The following is an 18107-nucleotide window of genomic DNA, read 5'->3' on the forward strand; positions in this document are numbered from 1 at the left end:
ACACCTTCATCAGCATCATTGTCCTTAATACTGGCAACTATAGCTATCATATTTACAGCATATGGATAAGGAAACAGTTCAGGAAGATCAAACCACTTTATATGTCAGAGCTAGAATTCAGACTCAAGTGTGATTTCCATTCATGTGTCATGACCACGATACCATGATGCCTCTTCACCCAGAAGTTCATAGTCGAGCCCGCTGTGATGTTCATGAACATTTGCTGGCACTCTCATGACGATGATGTAAAAGATTTTACACACAATAGTCAGAAATGATGTAAGAAAAAAATGAAGTTTTAAAAAGTATCTTCATGGAATTCATAGTCACAGAAACATTTTCATAAAAGGAGGCTCTTAATTATATTTTTAAAACTCTATACCCTACCCACTTATTCCTTGTGATGTTTATCAGGACTGGACTAGATGAATATGGCAGAGATAAAGCTATCACTTAAGGTTCCTGCTTAAAAGGATTTTATTATTGTACTGGACACTAATGTATTTGACATTGTTTAATTTTTAAAATCTATTTCTTAAAAGAAAATAGTTTTAAAACAGCCTTTAAGGATAGGACTGTAAGTATTGTCATTTATAAAGTGTCATTTATTTTAAACATGTAAAATTATTGGCCCTCAGATACCTTATATTTAATCCTTTTAACAACTCTTCATAGTAAGCAGTAATTTTCAAGTTTTACAAATAAGAATCTCATGGACTGTAGAGGTTAAGCATAGGCACCAGTGTTTAAACCAGTCTTACTCTAAAATACAGACTGCTCCCCCTATACCACACATTGCTCCTCTGATTCCACACATTGTTTTCTCAAATCCTTGAATAAGGGTTATTATTGAGGCTATTAAGAATGATTGCCAACATTGACTTGAACTAGAAATGTCAGAATGAACAATAGAATGAAAAAATGACAGTTTTGTTTTTTACTTTTTTTTTTTTATTTTTAACCACTGGGTTAGAATAGCAGAAGGTAGAATTAAGAGAACAAAAAGTAATTTTCAGTGGTAATATGCTGACTGTATCAAGAGTAGCAGGAATGATACTATCAAGGAAGAAAAGAATAAATATTTCAGCAGACAATTAATCTATCTCAGGGCTAACAAATCTAAAACAAATATACCATCAATAATACTCTATTTCCATTTCCTGGCTGGAAAGAGCTACACGAGCATATAACTTTGAATTGTTTTGTAAGGCCAGGTGACCTGCAGCTGGCTCATGGTTAACTGCTGGAGCCTCACTGAAGATGTAAATACTGTTCCGCAGCTTTGTGATACATAGCTAAAGACCATAAATGTGTATGTAATGAGTCAGAGAGCAGCAGTTCATTACTTGGGGCCTTTGTCACATATGCATCATATGAATACTGAACGACAATGATTTGCATGGAAAATCAGTTTAATGACAGAGAAACAAATACATAGTGGTTGTGAGCTTTCAATTTTGTGTCTAAAAAACGGATTCTAATCTCTTTTGTGCCATTTATTGGCTGTGTCTCTTTTCCTATCAGTGGGATGTACATAAGGGTCTTGGGATGGGTTTATTGTATAAGCTAAATAAAAAGAGGTATGTAAAACATGTGGCATGGTGCCTAGAACAGAGTAAGGCATCAACTCGTATCTGCTATTAGTACTGATGTCAAAAGATGTGGCATGCTGTTGTCTGGCTCCTCTTAAAAGGAAATTAAAACCTAAATTTGTCTCATGTGAGTATTCATCTCATATGATTGACCCCATAAGGCCACTAGGAAAACCGAATGGGAAAAAAACCCAGCATCTCACTTGTAGCTCCAGAGGAATAGGATTTGGGTTTGGGCTGTTCTCTTTGGTCCCTTTTAATCTGACCAACCTGATGCTTCACCAGCATAAAACTACTTTCTCCCAAGGTTTTCATTTGCAGAAACAGGAAGACCCTTGAGACCAATAACTGGTTATTTATTTTTAAATGTTCTAAAATAAAAATAATAGTGTGAGGCTTTTGCTTGAGCTTTCTTTCTGAAATGACCCTTGACAGGAACTGGAAATAGTTCTTGTCAATGCAGCCATTATCTCTCTTGTGACCAAACGGGATGTGGGAGGTAGGGTGGAATTTCTGAGTTCTTTGTACATAGGAATAAAATGTCTGTCATTTAGTTAAAATAAATTATTGATTTTTAAATCAAATTAAAATATTGAGTCACACAAGCAGGTACTGTACTTGAATTTTCCCTTATTTGTAAGAACTGTTTTTCACTGCTTTATGAATAGTGGGGAAAAATAAGGGGATATAAATAACAAAAACATGTTTTGGGCTTCATGAAACCCAGAAGGCAATTATAGGACACTCTGAAGAAAAAGTTTAAATTACCATAATTTCCCAGGAAAATAAATGATCCACTTTCTTGCCTTATCAGGTAAGCAAGCTGACAAAATGCTTTAAAAACAACTTTGGGATACTTAGTTTCCCTTTCCACTGGAGGACTGTGCACAAAGCTCAAATTATGCTTTCCATACCCCAGTGCTTTCTCCTCTTCCTGGGAACAAGGGTGTTAAGTGTCCCCAGCATCACTCAGGGATTGGGCTTGAGAAAGTCTTAGGAGCAAGACAAATGATTGATTTTGCTGGAAGGGAAACAGAAAAAGCCGGGCATGAATTTAAGTGGAATAATGACAGATCGCTTTAGCGGATCAAATGATTGATTTTCTTCAGGGATTAAGAGATGATTCAATTTGGGATTACTGTATTATTGCTTCTAGATCTGCAAAATATACGTGTCCGTGGCCTGAGGGTAAAGAAAGTAAAATAATGGGTCGTATCACATACATTTCTTGTTTAAATTTCCTCCAAAGCTTTAATTATTTCAGGAATAAATACCTCCTCCTCAGTATGAGAATCTGGGGTTTTCTTGCTCTGGCCCCTACATACTTATCCTGTCTCTTTGGTGGTCTTTCTCTCCTTGCATGCTATATGACATCAGAAGCAGTGACATCACTGTACTACCCCAGAAATGGGCCTCTCTGCCTTTGAATCTCATACACCTTTTGTCCAGAACGCTTCCATCTCCCTTACTTCCCTTTATTTCCTAGGCTAACTGATAAATCATTATTTAAAACATTCTACTTAGCCCTGAATCTGGGTTGTATGTACTTTCTATGTGCTCTCAAAATATCTCTTTATTTTTCTCAATCATTACGTTTATCATAGTATATTGTAATCATGTCTTGACTTTGATTTAATTGGTGTTAGGTCAGGCACGGTCAGCGGTCTATTTAAAAAGCTCCCTGGTGATTCTGATTCACAGCCAGGATTATGACCCACTGAACTGGACTGATAGCTCCATGAAGATAGGACAGTTGACTGTCTAGTTCACAGTTATAAGCCCATTTTCTAGCTCAGTGCCAGAAACACAGCAAATGCTCAAGAAACATTTGATCTATACATCAAATGTCTTTGTATCTCCAGTGTTTGTACAATGTTAAGCACAATTGTTTGTTGAGGGAGTAAATGCATAAATATGTTAAATTCTACAAAGAACCCATACATTAGTAAATTATAGTCTTTGCTTTCACAAAGTTATAGTTGGATAGGAGTAAGGGAAATTGAAGAAACACCAAAAATTCTGATATTATCACTTGTACATATTAACAATGAAAACATTTTCAGTGGTTGTAATGATTTCTTACTGAGAATATGTCTCATGGTGAGGATTTTTCTTTCTTCTGAATGCAGACATTTCTTTCTTGTGAATGCAGACATTTTTGAAATAGTATGGCAAATGTTCAGTTGATCGAAGCTTTGAGCAAATTCTGTTTAAGTTCTTTGGCAAACTGCTTAAATCTTGTGAGGTCATTCCAGACCATTCGCCTTTCCCTGTTATGCACTGAGGCAGGAAATGTTTTCTCCTTTTTGAAATGAGCAATTCAAGGGGCTGGTAAAGAATGCACATGGTGCGACATGCTATCAGCTCCCGCCAGCTGTTTACCGTGGTCTTTTTCATTCTTAACAGGGACATCAAGTTCTTTTGGATACTAGTTATGGTTTTATACATAAGACAAAATAAACACTTCCTGTAGGGCTTTAGAGGGTAACTTCACTCAAGTCTTATCTTCCATTTTCTTCAACAAAAGAGGAAAAAGTAAGATTTGAGAGAGGATTGCTATTTATCAGGTTATGCTGTAGTCTGTTGGCACATTTTAAAAATTTCTTTTTGGATCCTGAAAGCAGTAAAACTCCTCACCTTAACTTTCCCCATCTCATATCACTTAATTTTTCATACTGTGAGTGATCATGGCCCCCACCCAAGGTCATCTGAGAACAATTGTACCTTAGTCATTGACATTCTTAAGATCTTGTTTAGAAGGGATTGTTTGGAGCCTTTGTAGTCTGACCTGAGTCATCCCAGACTGTGCCAGGGTGGCTAAAGAACTGAACTTTCCCCAAAGGAACTCTTGTTATTGCAGAGAATCTCCAGGATGAAACACACAGTTAGTGCTCAGTGCACATGCACTTTGTCTGGAATTTACTGTCTGAACAGGGACAGACCACGACCTTTTAATCAGGATAGGCTTAGACTGAATTTTTTGTGCAAAGTAAATTTCCTTCTCGTAGAGTTTACCAGAGAGGCCACCCTGTAGAAAGGTATGATGGCTTAGTGGGAAGGCTATGAGCTTTGGAGTCAGAGAGACTTAAGTTTAAATCCCATTTCCGCCACGTATTTCGTGAATTGGGTAAGACACTTCTTTGAAACTCAGGTTTCTCATGTATAAAATATAATAACTCACTCATGGTGTTGCCATGAAGATCAAAAGAGTTAAGACAGACTATGTCCTTGCCTCTGGATAGCACTGAAAAGGTCCACTTTCTTTTTTGCTTCCTTTGCTTGAAAACTTGTTAATGAATTTCACTGGCTAATCTATAGAAATATTTCTTATCTAAAAGAAATATGTCACTGATTTTGGCAAATACACATTTTATTTAGAAATATTAGTTAAAACTATGCTATGTGCTGTAAAAAAAGAAACAGAGTGCCTTCCTACTATTCAGATGTTGTAATTAAAACTTATATAGCAAAATATGTACAGAGCAACAAACATTTCAATAAGGGAGAGCGGAAGAACATAATGGAAAAGGCACTGAATCTGAAGGCCCGACCCTAACCTCAACTCTAGCTGCGGGATGGAAGGCTCACTTATAAAATAAGAATAATATCTAACTTAATAGTGTTGTTCAGAAAAATGAAAGGGTGGAATGTTTGTAGATCTGCCTGGAAAATGTAATAGCACAATACTCACATTTAATTATTAAGAATAGGTTGTATTTCTTCTCCTACTTAACAAAAAACAAAATATTTTAAGAGTGAGGAATGGTATACAGTTGGAGAAAGGGCATTTTTTTCATAAGCCAGGGAGGAAGATGGTGGGTTTAGTTGCAGCATGCTAACTGAGAGCAATTTTGCATTTTCTCAGCTGCCCCTTGGAAGCCCGTCTAGACTTCACGTAGACAGTCCAGGTATTTGCTGAGTGGAGTGATTAGGTGGGGCTGGGATATAGACCTGTCTGGAAATAAGTAATCTTCCCTAAACCTGTGTGGCTGTGGCACGCTTGTGAAAAGGACTGTGGTGTATAAAACTACGGATGGTAAGACTGAGAACTTAAAACAAAGTAGAAGTTTGTAGGAACAGCAATAAAAATGGTGTGTATGTTCATTCACTTAAATATCACAATTCGTATAAGGTCGTGAAGGCATCTGCTACTAAGGCAAACTAAATTTACTGGTATTAAAAAGTTGCTCCAATAGGTAATCTTTTCCTGACCGTCCTTCTTAATTGTTCTAGAAGTCTTCTGAAATAGATTCTTCCATGTGTTGCACAAAAGTTTTGCAAACTCATTTTAAAGATTTTAGATCTTACTGAGTTGGGATTCAACAATTTTTGCCCTTGTCATTTTTTCATTTCCTGAAGTATTGGCAAAATCTTTGTGTAGCCATTCTGTATGGTTCTGGTCTTTATCCCACATCTGAGTAGGTAGAGCCTAAGCAGGTCTCCCTTTTACACTAAATGCTCCTGCTCCTTGGAGAGCAGCAGAAGGAGCAGTAATGGCCTTTGGGCTCTTGTTTAAAAGGACTGAATTATAGAAACTATAGATCATACTACAGTAAGACTTTAAATTGCTAAAAATATATGTTCTTATCATGTAATTCGAAGCCCACATACAATGAGTCACTCATCTGGATTACACCTTGTGAGTGGGTATGGTATGTTACTATGAATGGACAAAACATGAGCTCATCTTTAGCAAGCTTTCACCTGAAGTTCTTTTTATCAAATTAACAAACAAGTTGCCCATGAGGCAGCGGTTTAGAGTTCAGTGAGTGTAGAGAGGATGCAGGGAAGGTTTGGGGAAGTGGACTTCTGGCTGGATATGATGATCTTCAAGGGGTACCCAGTGAGAGACCCTTGTGGTGGTGTGATTATGGTGAAGGGTTGACTGGAGAAAGGAGACACAGACAAAAAAATGGCAGAAGACCACGATTTTGACCACTGTTTTTTTTTTTGTTTTTTGTTTTTGTTTTTTGCCTAGAACTGATCTTATTTAGAAATAAGGCTTCAATCTTGCTGCTTTTGCTGAGGTGAAGTGTTTAATAGAAAATAGTAGACAGAGTCTACTTAATTATTGTGGCAACAGCTGGCCATCTTCCTTATACCATCCATCCTTCCTTATGGTGACCCATATGTCAGTATGGGTCTTCCACATATCTGAGCAAAAGACTAATAGATGGTGTAGCCCAGATCTTTTTATGTAGACCCTTCAGTTAGTGTATTCTTACCCCTGTAGAGTTTCTGTGTTTCTTGGTCAAATTCATTCTTTGCTTAAAAACAAAGCACAACACACTAGATGAGAGATGAGAACAAAGGTGCATGGAGTTTTGAGATGGGAAAATGACTACCACTTGGTTTTGGCAAGTGGGAGGCAGAGATGAAATAAATTGCTGTAGTGTGGGGTGCTGGGATTGCAAAGATGGAAGACGACTGATTGGTGGTAGCTGCTGTCATGTGGAATATTTCTTTCTAAATTTAGAGGGGAAATTGGGCTAGATCATCATATTTAATTAGAATCTTTTAAGTGTTATTTATACATGCTATTTATAGATGACCTAGAAAAGAATGATGAAAAAATTAATTTAAAAATCACTTAATATTCCTGTTCAAATCATTGTTCTTTTATCTTAAACCTCTTTTTCTTTGTGAAGACTATTCTTTTCTACATTAGCTAATCCTACTGTAGAAGTATTTTACTGGATATTTTTCTCTATCCTTATAATATTCAATTTCATATTAATATTATAATCTAAATTTATAAATACATTACATATTTTTAAAGAGCAGAATCATAGAATAAAAAAACACCATATTTGAACAAAGATTTGTAAATTTTTTTTTTTTTTTATGGAGTCTTGCTCTATCGCCAGGCTGGAGTGCGGTGGCACGATCTCGGCTCACTGCAACCTCCGCCTCCCGGGTTCAAGCGGTTGTCCTGCCTCAGCCTCCCGACTAGCTGGTATTACAGGCACACACCACCACGCCGAGCTAACTATTGAATTTTTAGTAGAGACAGGGTTTCACCATGTTGGCCAGGATGGTCTCGATCTCTCAACCTCATGATCCGCCCGCCTCGGCCTCCCAAAGTGCTGGGATTACAGGTGTGAGCCACCATGCCTGGCTTGAGCTTTTGTTTGTCAAATTCTATATTCATAATTGGAAAAGAAACATTTGTCAGACCAAATTAAAACCCATTAAATTAAAAAAAAAACAACCCAATTACATTTTCAAATTTCAGCAACTCATCTCTGAGCTGCTCTCTCTAGGTCTCTTCTGTGAGGCATCAGGGCCCCAGAGAGATGTTTGTTCACTCCCAGGGCTACCGTGGTGGCTGCTCAGTAACGATGTAGCTGTTTCTACAGTTAGATGATTTAGAACACATGTAGAATTTCCTGTTTCAGACTCATAATGGATTTCCTTCTTTCTTTTATGTGCAGCCTTGGTTACAAACTGGGATAAAAACAGTTTACGTAAACACAGAAGCAAGTAAGACTGGAAGGTGGTATTTTTATAATGCTTTTCCAAGAAAACTATATTGAGTGGAACATGAGGTTTAAAACGTTATTTCAGCATCAGTGAAATCTCATTACAGACTTCAGAAGAGATCCAAAGACCAATCTTGTTTAGCTTGCACTTGATGATCCCTCATGGTGGCCCTTCCTAACACAGTTTGAAATCACACATCTTTAGTCCTGTAGGTTATCTGATCCAAAGTATATATGCATTGTATTCTTTGTGAGTAATGTGTGTAAATGTAAATGGACCCTAGAATGATTTGTGCGTGCTACCAGGCATGATTCTGGGTGCTTAAGGAAATGCATCTATACAATGCCTGTCACCAAGACGAAGGCCCTCAACATTTTGTTGTCATTTAATTAATGCAGACTGATTTTAATTCAGTCCAGGGATATTTCAATCACAACATAAGTAGAAGGTAAAACTGAGGTCTAAATACTCATGTATTAATTTCAGTGTTGAATAGAGAAAGAGCCATATCTTTGCCTCTTAAGTGTTTACAGTTCTCAAAGCATTCAGAACTTTGAATGCTCGATATGATTACTCCTCTCCATTACATGGATATCCAAAAGTTCATTAACAGGTAAAGGATGAAAGGACTTGGAAATGAAATTGTCAAGAGAAGATATTTGAGACCTAGGGCCTGTGGTCTATGTTTTCAATTTTCTCCCTTCAGAGTATTTTAAAAATTAAAATGGAATAATTTTATTTTTACATTATACTTTATGTAAGGATGACCTGAGCCATAGACAGATAACATTTGGGGTAAATTTACAGAAGCCTTCTTGTAAAAATAAAAATCTGGTTGTTAGTAATATTTAATAATACACTATTATGATGGCAGATATTTAATGACCTATTTATAAAATAAACTATTTCATTTTTTAATATTATTTAAAGTTACTTGTGGGAGCCAATTTATCAGATATTGCCCATAGATCCAAGTGAAATCAGGAGGAAGGCTAGGAGGAAAAAAAAATATCTAAAATGCACTGTGTAGCTGTTTTGTTTTTTAAGAATTTTAGAGATACTTCAGAGAAAATTGGAGATATTGTAAAAGAAAAATTTAACACTGCTGCTTTTATCTATTGATATGGACAATGATTTGAAAGTTGACTAAAATTGATGCTTATTCTATTTCATACATCCTTTGGACAACGTGGTGATTGTTTAATTTTATTTTTTATTCTAATTTTAATTTTGTAGAGATGAGGTCTTGCTATGTTGCCCAGGCTGGTCTTGAATTCCTGGCTTCAAGCAATCCTCTGGCCTTGGCCTCCCAAAGTGCTGAGATTATATGCATAAGCCACCACTTCCAGTGCCCAGTGATTTTTTAAAGACTATATTGTGTGTAGATTTTGCAACATGAACCAAATGCTTTGCATTTTTCCAAAGATTAATCATATTGAAATGTATTTTTCTAGATCCTTAAAAACACAAACGTTATTTGGGGGCTTATGTTCTAGGCACTTGTTAGGCACTAAAAATACAAAAATAAATAGGTGTTGTCACTGCGGTCATTCAAGGCATAGTATATCCAATTGGTGCCAATATGACTTTTCACATAAACAATCAGATACAGCCAAAGAAATGACTCTGAACTGCTAAGAATTATATGTAGTCTTACAATACAGAAAAACTAACCTAAAGTATAAAGAATGAAGGAAACAATAAAGATAAGAACAGAAAATAATAAGAGTAGAACACTCAGTATAGAAGAGCAACACCACGAAAAGGTAAGTTCATTGAAAAGCCTACTGTTTCCTTAGTTTCCACCCGCCTCCTGCCAGGGAAGGTTTTTTGAACCCTTTTCAAGGGTGGAAAGTCCAAATAGAGTCCCAGTCTTGATGAACTTTTGAGGCAGAGATTAGTGATTCAGGCTGCCTGAAGTAGCTGGAATTTGTAAAGCAGGGTCAGAGAAGACGAAGCTGTATGGAGGGTGTACACCGAAACTCTTTGTGAGGATTCACTATGCATCTTTGGTTTGGGATTAGCTTGGCTTGTGTAGGACAAGATTTCATGAGACCTACCTGGGATCTCCGTCTATAGGGCTGGATAGTGATGGCAGAGGGTTGTTAGAGTTCTGGCCCAATAAGAGAGCAAATAAAAGATATATATCTATCTATCAATTGTATATTATGTCCATATACCTAGATAATAGTGCACTCTCTCTAAAAAAGTAGTATAAAATAATTTGTCTACATGAATGTGTGGATGTTCCCCAGGTCTTGCTGGAGTAATTCCCAGAAATAGAATTCTTCATGACTTATCCAGTCTTACAATTATGAAATTAACATTAATCTGTAAAGCAATGGGTAAGAACTTGGCAGAGGCCACCTGATCTTAGAATGCAATAATCTTAATCTAGTACTAAGTCAAAGTAGAGAAGGTTTGAATTGGGTCGACAATTCCTCAAAACGGATTTTTTAATGAACTTTCAGTTTTAGTTTTTAAGAATTAGAATTTCAAGAGAAATTCCTTCATCCTATTTTGCATTAAATGTCATATTCTTTGCTATGTATAAAATATTTTGGTATAGACTTAAAAGCATTGAAAAGACTTAAAAATTGGAAACAAAAGGAAATTAGAGTTTTCAGGAATAATTTTGAGTTTACATAGAAACCAATAATATTCCTGAGTTGAAAGTTATTGCCTCAAACATCTTCAAATTTTGGAAAATAAAAAAATTGTCATTTGTTTTATTTAGAATGATGTTACTTTTGGTTATGTTTTATGTGTTACTAATACAATACAAAGTGTGGGTATAAGACAAGTCCAGTCTTGAATTATTAGTGGAACAAAAACATGAAAACCTCCCAGTATAAAATAGGCTCTGACCCGTGGCTAAGTGTACTTCACAGCTGTTTGGCCTTTTCAAAAGTCCTGCTATCTTTATAATGCACAGTTTTAGCTTTCTGTGTTGCATTGTGTGTGTCTATGGTTATTCATGCTGAACAGAGAACAGTTTATACATGTTTATTTCTAGCATCTAAGCAACTTGACTGGTACTTTTTTTTTTTACTTTCTGTTAGTTCAGATGTTTGCAAGCCTATTTGCATAAAACAGGGAAAAGGCTTATGCAGAGTGGCTTTCCATATTGAGTACTGATATTGCACAGACATTCACAATTATTTATTATGTTTTTAAGTCCTTTATAAGTCTTTATAATAGTCTATAGAGTTAAGATGTGTATGGGAACCAAGAATACATGGTTTTACCTTTTATGGGTTGGTCACTTTCCTAATGAACTTGCCTTTTCATTTGGCCAGGTATTGGTCTTGTCAGCTATAGCATATCAAGGTCTTCCAAACTTCACACACCTAATAAATAGGATCCATATATTAGAATTTCTCAGTTATGACTGTGTCAATTTCCTTTATATTTTATTCATCTTTTTCATGTCTAGCTATGAAAAGAAATTCATTTCCCATAAATCACTTAAAAGCATACCATGCAATAATTACCACCTACATCATTAAAGATTTGTATATCAATAGTTGGAATTTACTTTATTTTTTATTTTATTTTATTTTATTTTATTTTTTTTTGAGATGGAGTCTCTCTCTGTCACCCAGGCTGAAGTGCAGTGGCGTGATCTCGGCTCACTGCAAGCTCTGCCTCCCGGGTTCACGCCATTCTCCTGCCTCAGCCTCCAGAGTAACTGGGACTACAGGTGCCCGCCACCACACCCGGCTAATTTTTTGTATTTTTAGTAGAGATGAGGTTTCACCATATTAGCCAGGATGGTCTTGATCTCCTGACCTCATGATCCTCCCGCCTCAGCCTCCCAAAGTGCTAGGATTGCAGGTGTGAGCCACAGACGAATTTTCTTCACTTAAAGTTTATTCTAAGTAGAAAAAATGACATTGAGAGTCTATGGTAGCTTGTTTCTTTGTGATTTTTTGCAATTTTGTATTTTGAGCTCCTCTTCAGAACTTAATCTGTGATAATTTTGTGACACCTGAACTGGGAGTGTGTATTCCTCCAGGTAAGATATTGTTTGCTTCAGGCAAGCATCCTGAGACATTATTTATCTACTAATGATTTAATTCCTTATCTTGGGCTTTCTCAGACCCCACAGGTCATCTAAAGTTTGATCTTAAAACCTGTAGCCTTGAATACCTTTTCCCCAAATCCAGATAAATAAAGACTAAAAAGTTTTCTTGATACTTCTCTTTTCTAAGAGCTACATATTTTCTAGATGCTCTCTCCTGCCTCCTGTCCTGGAAGATTCAACTTTATCCACAAGATCTCCATTTTAACTCACCACCTTGCAAGTATCTAAGTTAAAACTCAGTTCTCTAGGTTCCAGGGATCAGAAAATGCCCTCAGGGCAGATTTAATTTCAATCCTCATTTATCCCTCTGTTAACTGCTTCCTTCTTGGACTCTGGAGACTTATTTTCCTTTTTACTCTCTTTTTCCACAATGCTCTTTCATTTGGAAACTGTTTGCTTAAATATAATTCAAATAGAGGAAAAATATTCAAAATACAAACTTTTTTTCTGCACGGCATCACATTTATTTATGAAATTTAGCCATGGTTTTGTGCTCAGTAATAGTTTTTTTTTCTTTGTATTTTATGAACATACTGTAATTTATTTATCCATTCTATTTGTTGATGGACAACTGGGTTATTTCTAATTTGGGGCTTTCACAAATAATGTGAACATTTCCATCATGTCTCTTAGTGAATCTGTGTATTCATTTATGTTTGGTATATAGCTATTACTGGAAATGCTAGGGTAATAAATATAATCTTTGGCAGTTTTTCAAAGTAGTTGTCCTAATTTAAATTCCCATCAACAATGTGGGAAAGTTGGAGTTGTTCCACATCCTTATCAACATTTTTTATTATCCATTGTGTTTGCTTATTTGTTTTACTATTAGCCATTCTGATGAGTGAGCAGCGGCAACTTACTGTTTAATTGGCATCTCCCTATTGGTTATTTTGTACCTTTATGTTTATTGCCTATTTGACTATCGTCTTTAGTGGAGGATAACTAGTTTAGTGAGAAAACTTATTTGAGTTATCTTTTTATTTTTTAGGAGTTCTTTTTCTATTCTGGCCATGAGGTCTTCATCAAATATTGTCAATATCTTCTCTCATGCTGTGACTTTTCACTGTTTGAATGGTACATTTATAAATGAAGTTTAATTTTAAAGAAGTTTTATTTTTTTAATTGTTTTTCTTCATTGTGACTGCTTTTTTTGTCCTGTTTAAGAAATCTGTCCCTTCTCAATTTATGAAGATATTCTTTCATGTTATCTTCTTGAATATTATTGCTTTGCCTTTTGTATTTACACATCACAGCTCACATGGAATTGATTTTTCTGTACTGTTGTAAATCAGGAGATCATACATTTGGCCCAGTTGTTTCAACATTCTCTCTCTGTTCCATTGTTTCTACTTGGTCCTGCATCAATACCACACTGTCTTATTTACTGTAACCTCAAGATAAATCTTGAAATCTGGCATTTTGAGTTTTCCTATTTTGTTATTCTTCAAGAATTGCTTAACTATTCTTGGCCCTTTGTGGTTTCATGTAAATTTAGTACCAGATTTTCATTTTGGGTGTGTGAATCCCGAATATCTGGGACAGAGCTCAGTTAATTTAGAAAGTTTATTTTGCCGATGTTGAGGACAGACGCTCATGACACAGCCTCAGAAGGTCCTGATGACTTGTGGCTAAGATGATCAGGGCACAGCTTGGTTTTATACATTTTAGGAAGACATGAGACATCAATCAATATATGTAAGATATACATTGGTATCAACCAGAAAGGTGAGACAACTTGAAGCAGGGAGGGGGCTTCCAGGTCACAGGTAGTGACAGACAGATGGTTGCATTATTTTGAGTGTCCGATTAGCTTTCCAAAGGAGGCAATCAGATACGCATCTATCTCAGTGAGCAGAGGGATGACTGAATAAAATGGGAGGCAGGTTTGCCCTAAGCAGTTCCCAGCCTGACTTTTCACTTTAGCTTAGTGATTTTGGAGCCCCAAGACTTATTTTCCTTTCACAGGTCAAAATTATTTATTAAGAGTTTACTGAATTTGTAAATTAATTTAAGGATATTGAAACTTTTGCAGTATCAATTCTTCCAATCCATAAGGATTTACTGAAATCTTTTAAATTTCTCCCAGAAATGTTTTGTAGTATTGTATGGAGGTCTTATACATGTTTTTTAGATTTATTCTTGTGTATTTAATTTTATTTCTTATAAATGTTATCTTTTTAAAATTACATTTTCAACTGGCTTTGCTAGCATATATAAATACAAATGATTTTTATATCCTGCAACTTTGTTAAATCCACTTATTAATTCTATCATTTTATCTGTAAATATTTGGATTTTTTACATTCACAATCATATTTTCTAGTTCTTATGTGTTTTATTCTGTTTCCTTTCATTAATTAACAAGGTAGTGAGTATAGTTGGTTTTAGAAAACATCTTAGTTTTGTTTCCAAAATCTGGCGTAAGCTTTCAACATTTCACCAGTAAGCATTATGTTTGCTGTAGGTTTTTTCTTAGACAAGTATTTGCAGTATTGCTAGTTTGCTTAGAGCTTTTATAATGGATTGTGGTTACATGTTATCAAAATTTCTGCTCAATTGTTTTGTCTTTTGTACCTTTACTGTTCCTTACACCCAAAAGGTACAACTGTAGTCTTGTGCTGGAGTAAGGTGGAGCAGTCATCTGTCTTGTCAACATGGGGGTGGTTTTAAATGTCTAACTAGTCTAACTATTTCCTTAAAAGACTTGTATCTAATCTTCCTGTTTATAGTTCCTCACACCCCGTCCCCATGCATTTTTTTTTTTTGAGACAGGGTCTGGCTCTGTTGCCCAGGCTAAGATGCAGTGACATTACCATAGCTCACCACAACCTTGAACTCCTGGGTTTAAGCTACCCTCCCACTTCAGCCTCCAGAGTAGCTGGTACTACAGGTGTGTGCTGCCATGCCCAACTAGTTTCTGTGTTTTTTGTAAAGATGGGGTTTCTCCATGTTGCCTAGGCTGGTCTGGAACTCCTGACTCCAGTGATTTGCCTGCCTTGGCCTCCCAAGGTGCTGGGATTATAGGAGCTGCTGCACCAGGTCCCTGCCCCCATGCATTTTTGTACTGCCACTTCTGAGTATTTGATGCCATTTTTTTTTTTTTTTTTCCAGACAGAGTCTTGCTCTGTTGCCAGATTGGAGTGAAGTGGCGCGATCTCAGCTCACTGCACCCTCTGACTCCCTGATTCAAGTGATGCTCCTGCCTCAGACTCCCAAGTAAGCTGGGATTACAAGCATGCACCACCAACCCCAGCTAATTTTTTGTATTTTTAGTAGAGATGGGGTTTCATCATGTTAGCTGGGATGGTCTCAATCTCCTGACCTCATGATCCGCCTGCCTTGGCCTCCCAAAGTGTTGGGATTACAGGCGTGAGCCACTGAGCCCAGCCGATGCTTTTAACTCTTTATAGTTTTGAGGGTCCATGTCATGAATCAGCTTTTTCCTTTTTGGCTTCCTCATTCCTCTCCTCCTTTACCCCAGCTCTGTTGACAATTAGTATTTAATTTCTATAACTTGCCATATTATTTACCTTATTCCTTCTGCTTTCCACCCTCCAAAATTTTTATTCATTCATTTGACAAATGTTTTTGAGTTAGGATTGACAGATTTAGCAAGTAAAATTACATGACACCAGTTAAATTTGAATTCCAGGTAAACAACAAATAGATTTTTTTTTTAGTACAAGTATGGTCCAAATATTACATGGGACATACCGTGGGACATATTTATACTAAAAATTTATCCACTCTTTATCTGAAATTCAAAGCTAATTAGCCTTCCTGTATTTTATCTGACAACCTTATTATGAGTATCTATTGGATTAGCTGTTGTTGCAGGTATAGGTACTATAGTGGAGATAAAAACTGTTAAAAAATCCCTGCTGTCAGGAGCTTACATTTGACCGGGTAAGATATTACACATAATAGGTAAATCATATAGTGTGTTGGAGAGTGATAAACACTATCAAAAAGAAATGAAGTAGGCAAATGAGTATCAGATATATATGGAGTGAAATTTTTCTTTAGATGTGTTAGAAAGAATGTCAAAGTGAGAGTGAAATTACAGCAGGTACTTTAGTTGAATAAGTTTGTGGGGGAAGTGTTTTCTAGGAAGAAGGAGCAGCATGTGTAACCAGAAGCAGCAATGCAGCTAGTGTGCTCATGGCAGGAGTGCAGTTAGTGGTCCCAGTGGATTAGCAAGGGCAAGAGCAGTAAGATGAGGTCAGGATGGGAACAGGAATACAGACAAGGTAGGGAGCATTGGGGGCTGTTGTGAAAATTAGGCTCCTTTGAATGAGGCACAAGGGTAGTATTTAAATACGACAGATATTGTTAAAAGACAAACCTGCACATGTACCCCTGTACTTAAAATAATAGTTTAAAAAAGTAGTAAACCCTATAATTTATATTTGTATAACCTCAGCTTCAACAACATGGAGCAATGAAAATTTATTCTTATATCTCCTTTAAGTAAAACATTTTTCATTTTATTTTTATATGTCACCATTTGGTTATCCATATTATATAAATATAGATTGCTGAACAGTGTATTTTAGAATTCTAATAAGCATTAAGAATTTTTTTTTTTGACAGAGTCTTGCTCTGTCGCCCAGGCTAGAGTGCAGTGGTGCGATCTCAGCTCACTGCAACCTCTGCCTCCTGGGTTCGAGTGATTCTCCTGCCTCGTCCTCCCAAGTAGCTGGGATTACAGGCGTGCGCCACCACACTTGGCTATTTTGTATTTTTAGTAGAGACGGAGTTTCAGCACTTTGGCAAGGCTGGTCTTGAACTCCTGACCTCAAGATATCCACCCACCTCAGCCTCCCAAAGTGCTGGGATTACAGGCCTGAGCCACTGCGCCCGGACAAGAATTTTTTTTTAAGGAGACATGACATTGTTATAAGAAGTGATCTGGCAGCTATGCTGAGAATGGACGGTAGTTGATCAGTGGAGGCCAAGGAAGAGATTGCTGCAATAATCTAGGCAAGAGTTGATGGTGGTCATGACTACTGATATAGCAGAAGTGATAGTAGTGGAAGTGGTGTGAAATGGCTCATGTCCATGTAACACATGTGATTCAATTAGAATTTCCTTGTTGTATTTGGTTTCTATGGAGAGAGATTATTTTTTATTCCTGTCACTGCAATATGATATCTATAAATTAACTTCCACATAATTAAACTAGTCCATTTTGGTATTTTAGAATGACTGGTAATAATCATCGAAGAACTTTTATGTGCCCCAAAAGAGATACTGCACACCCTACCTAAGTCTATAAGGAATTGGAAAGCATCTAACGAATTGAAACAGATATTTAAAGTTTTTCATTGAGAAGTGTGATGAAGGTTCATTAAAAGAACTGGATGAATGCATACATTATTAAAATCAGTATTTTGTTAATTAGCATTTTTTCTGTTTGAATATGGCAAGCCAGAGTTTTATGCTATTATTGGCTACCCACTGGACTTTTTTTTCTGTTTTATAGAAGAATGTCAAACCTTAACTGGATTTGTTTATTTCTTTTAGGTATTTCCTATATCTTCCTGTCTTTTCCATGGCCAAAAATGATCAAGTAAAGAACATTAAAGAAGAAATAAATTACTACATATTAAAAAATACATACTGTAAGATGTTCTTTGTACAAAAATGTGACAACTTCAATAAGAGTAACTTGGACAACCTGAGGCATTAATTGAGGATCAATATGATGACTTTACATTGAGAATCACATATACCCTCTGAATAAATTTAAAAAATGAAATTTTTTAATTTTCATTAAAAATTAAATTTTTTTGAGTGATGAAAATACTCAATCACATTATTTTCAAATTGTTGATAAGCATGGAAATTATCAGAGAACCAGAATATTCAAGGTTTATCTTTCCTGTTTTTGTCTTAAATCACAACTATGTGTTAAATAATTTGTATGACCTATTTCAGTG

The 18107-nt window shown here is 36.1% G+C and overlaps 1 long non-coding RNA gene across 4 annotated transcripts in view; it reads left to right on the plus strand.

Annotated features, from left to right (window-relative positions):
- CCN2-AS1 (CCN2 antisense RNA 1) overlaps positions 1 to 18107 on the plus strand; it is a 200374-nt gene that overhangs the window by 157565 nt on the left and 24702 nt on the right. Inside the window, exon 4 of one of the 4 annotated variants that reach the window (NR_187595.1) lies at positions 15277 to 15381. The exons of the other annotated variants lie outside the window; for them this stretch is intronic. This is a non-coding gene — a long non-coding RNA (CCN2 antisense RNA 1). The remainder of the gene's footprint in view (positions 1 to 15276; positions 15382 to 18107) is intronic. 4 annotated transcript variants of the gene reach the window in all.

This window comes from Homo sapiens, chromosome 6 (assembly GCF_000001405.40).
Source record: "Homo sapiens chromosome 6, GRCh38.p14 Primary Assembly".
NCBI classification, from domain to species: Eukaryota; Metazoa; Chordata; class Mammalia; order Primates; family Hominidae; genus Homo; species Homo sapiens.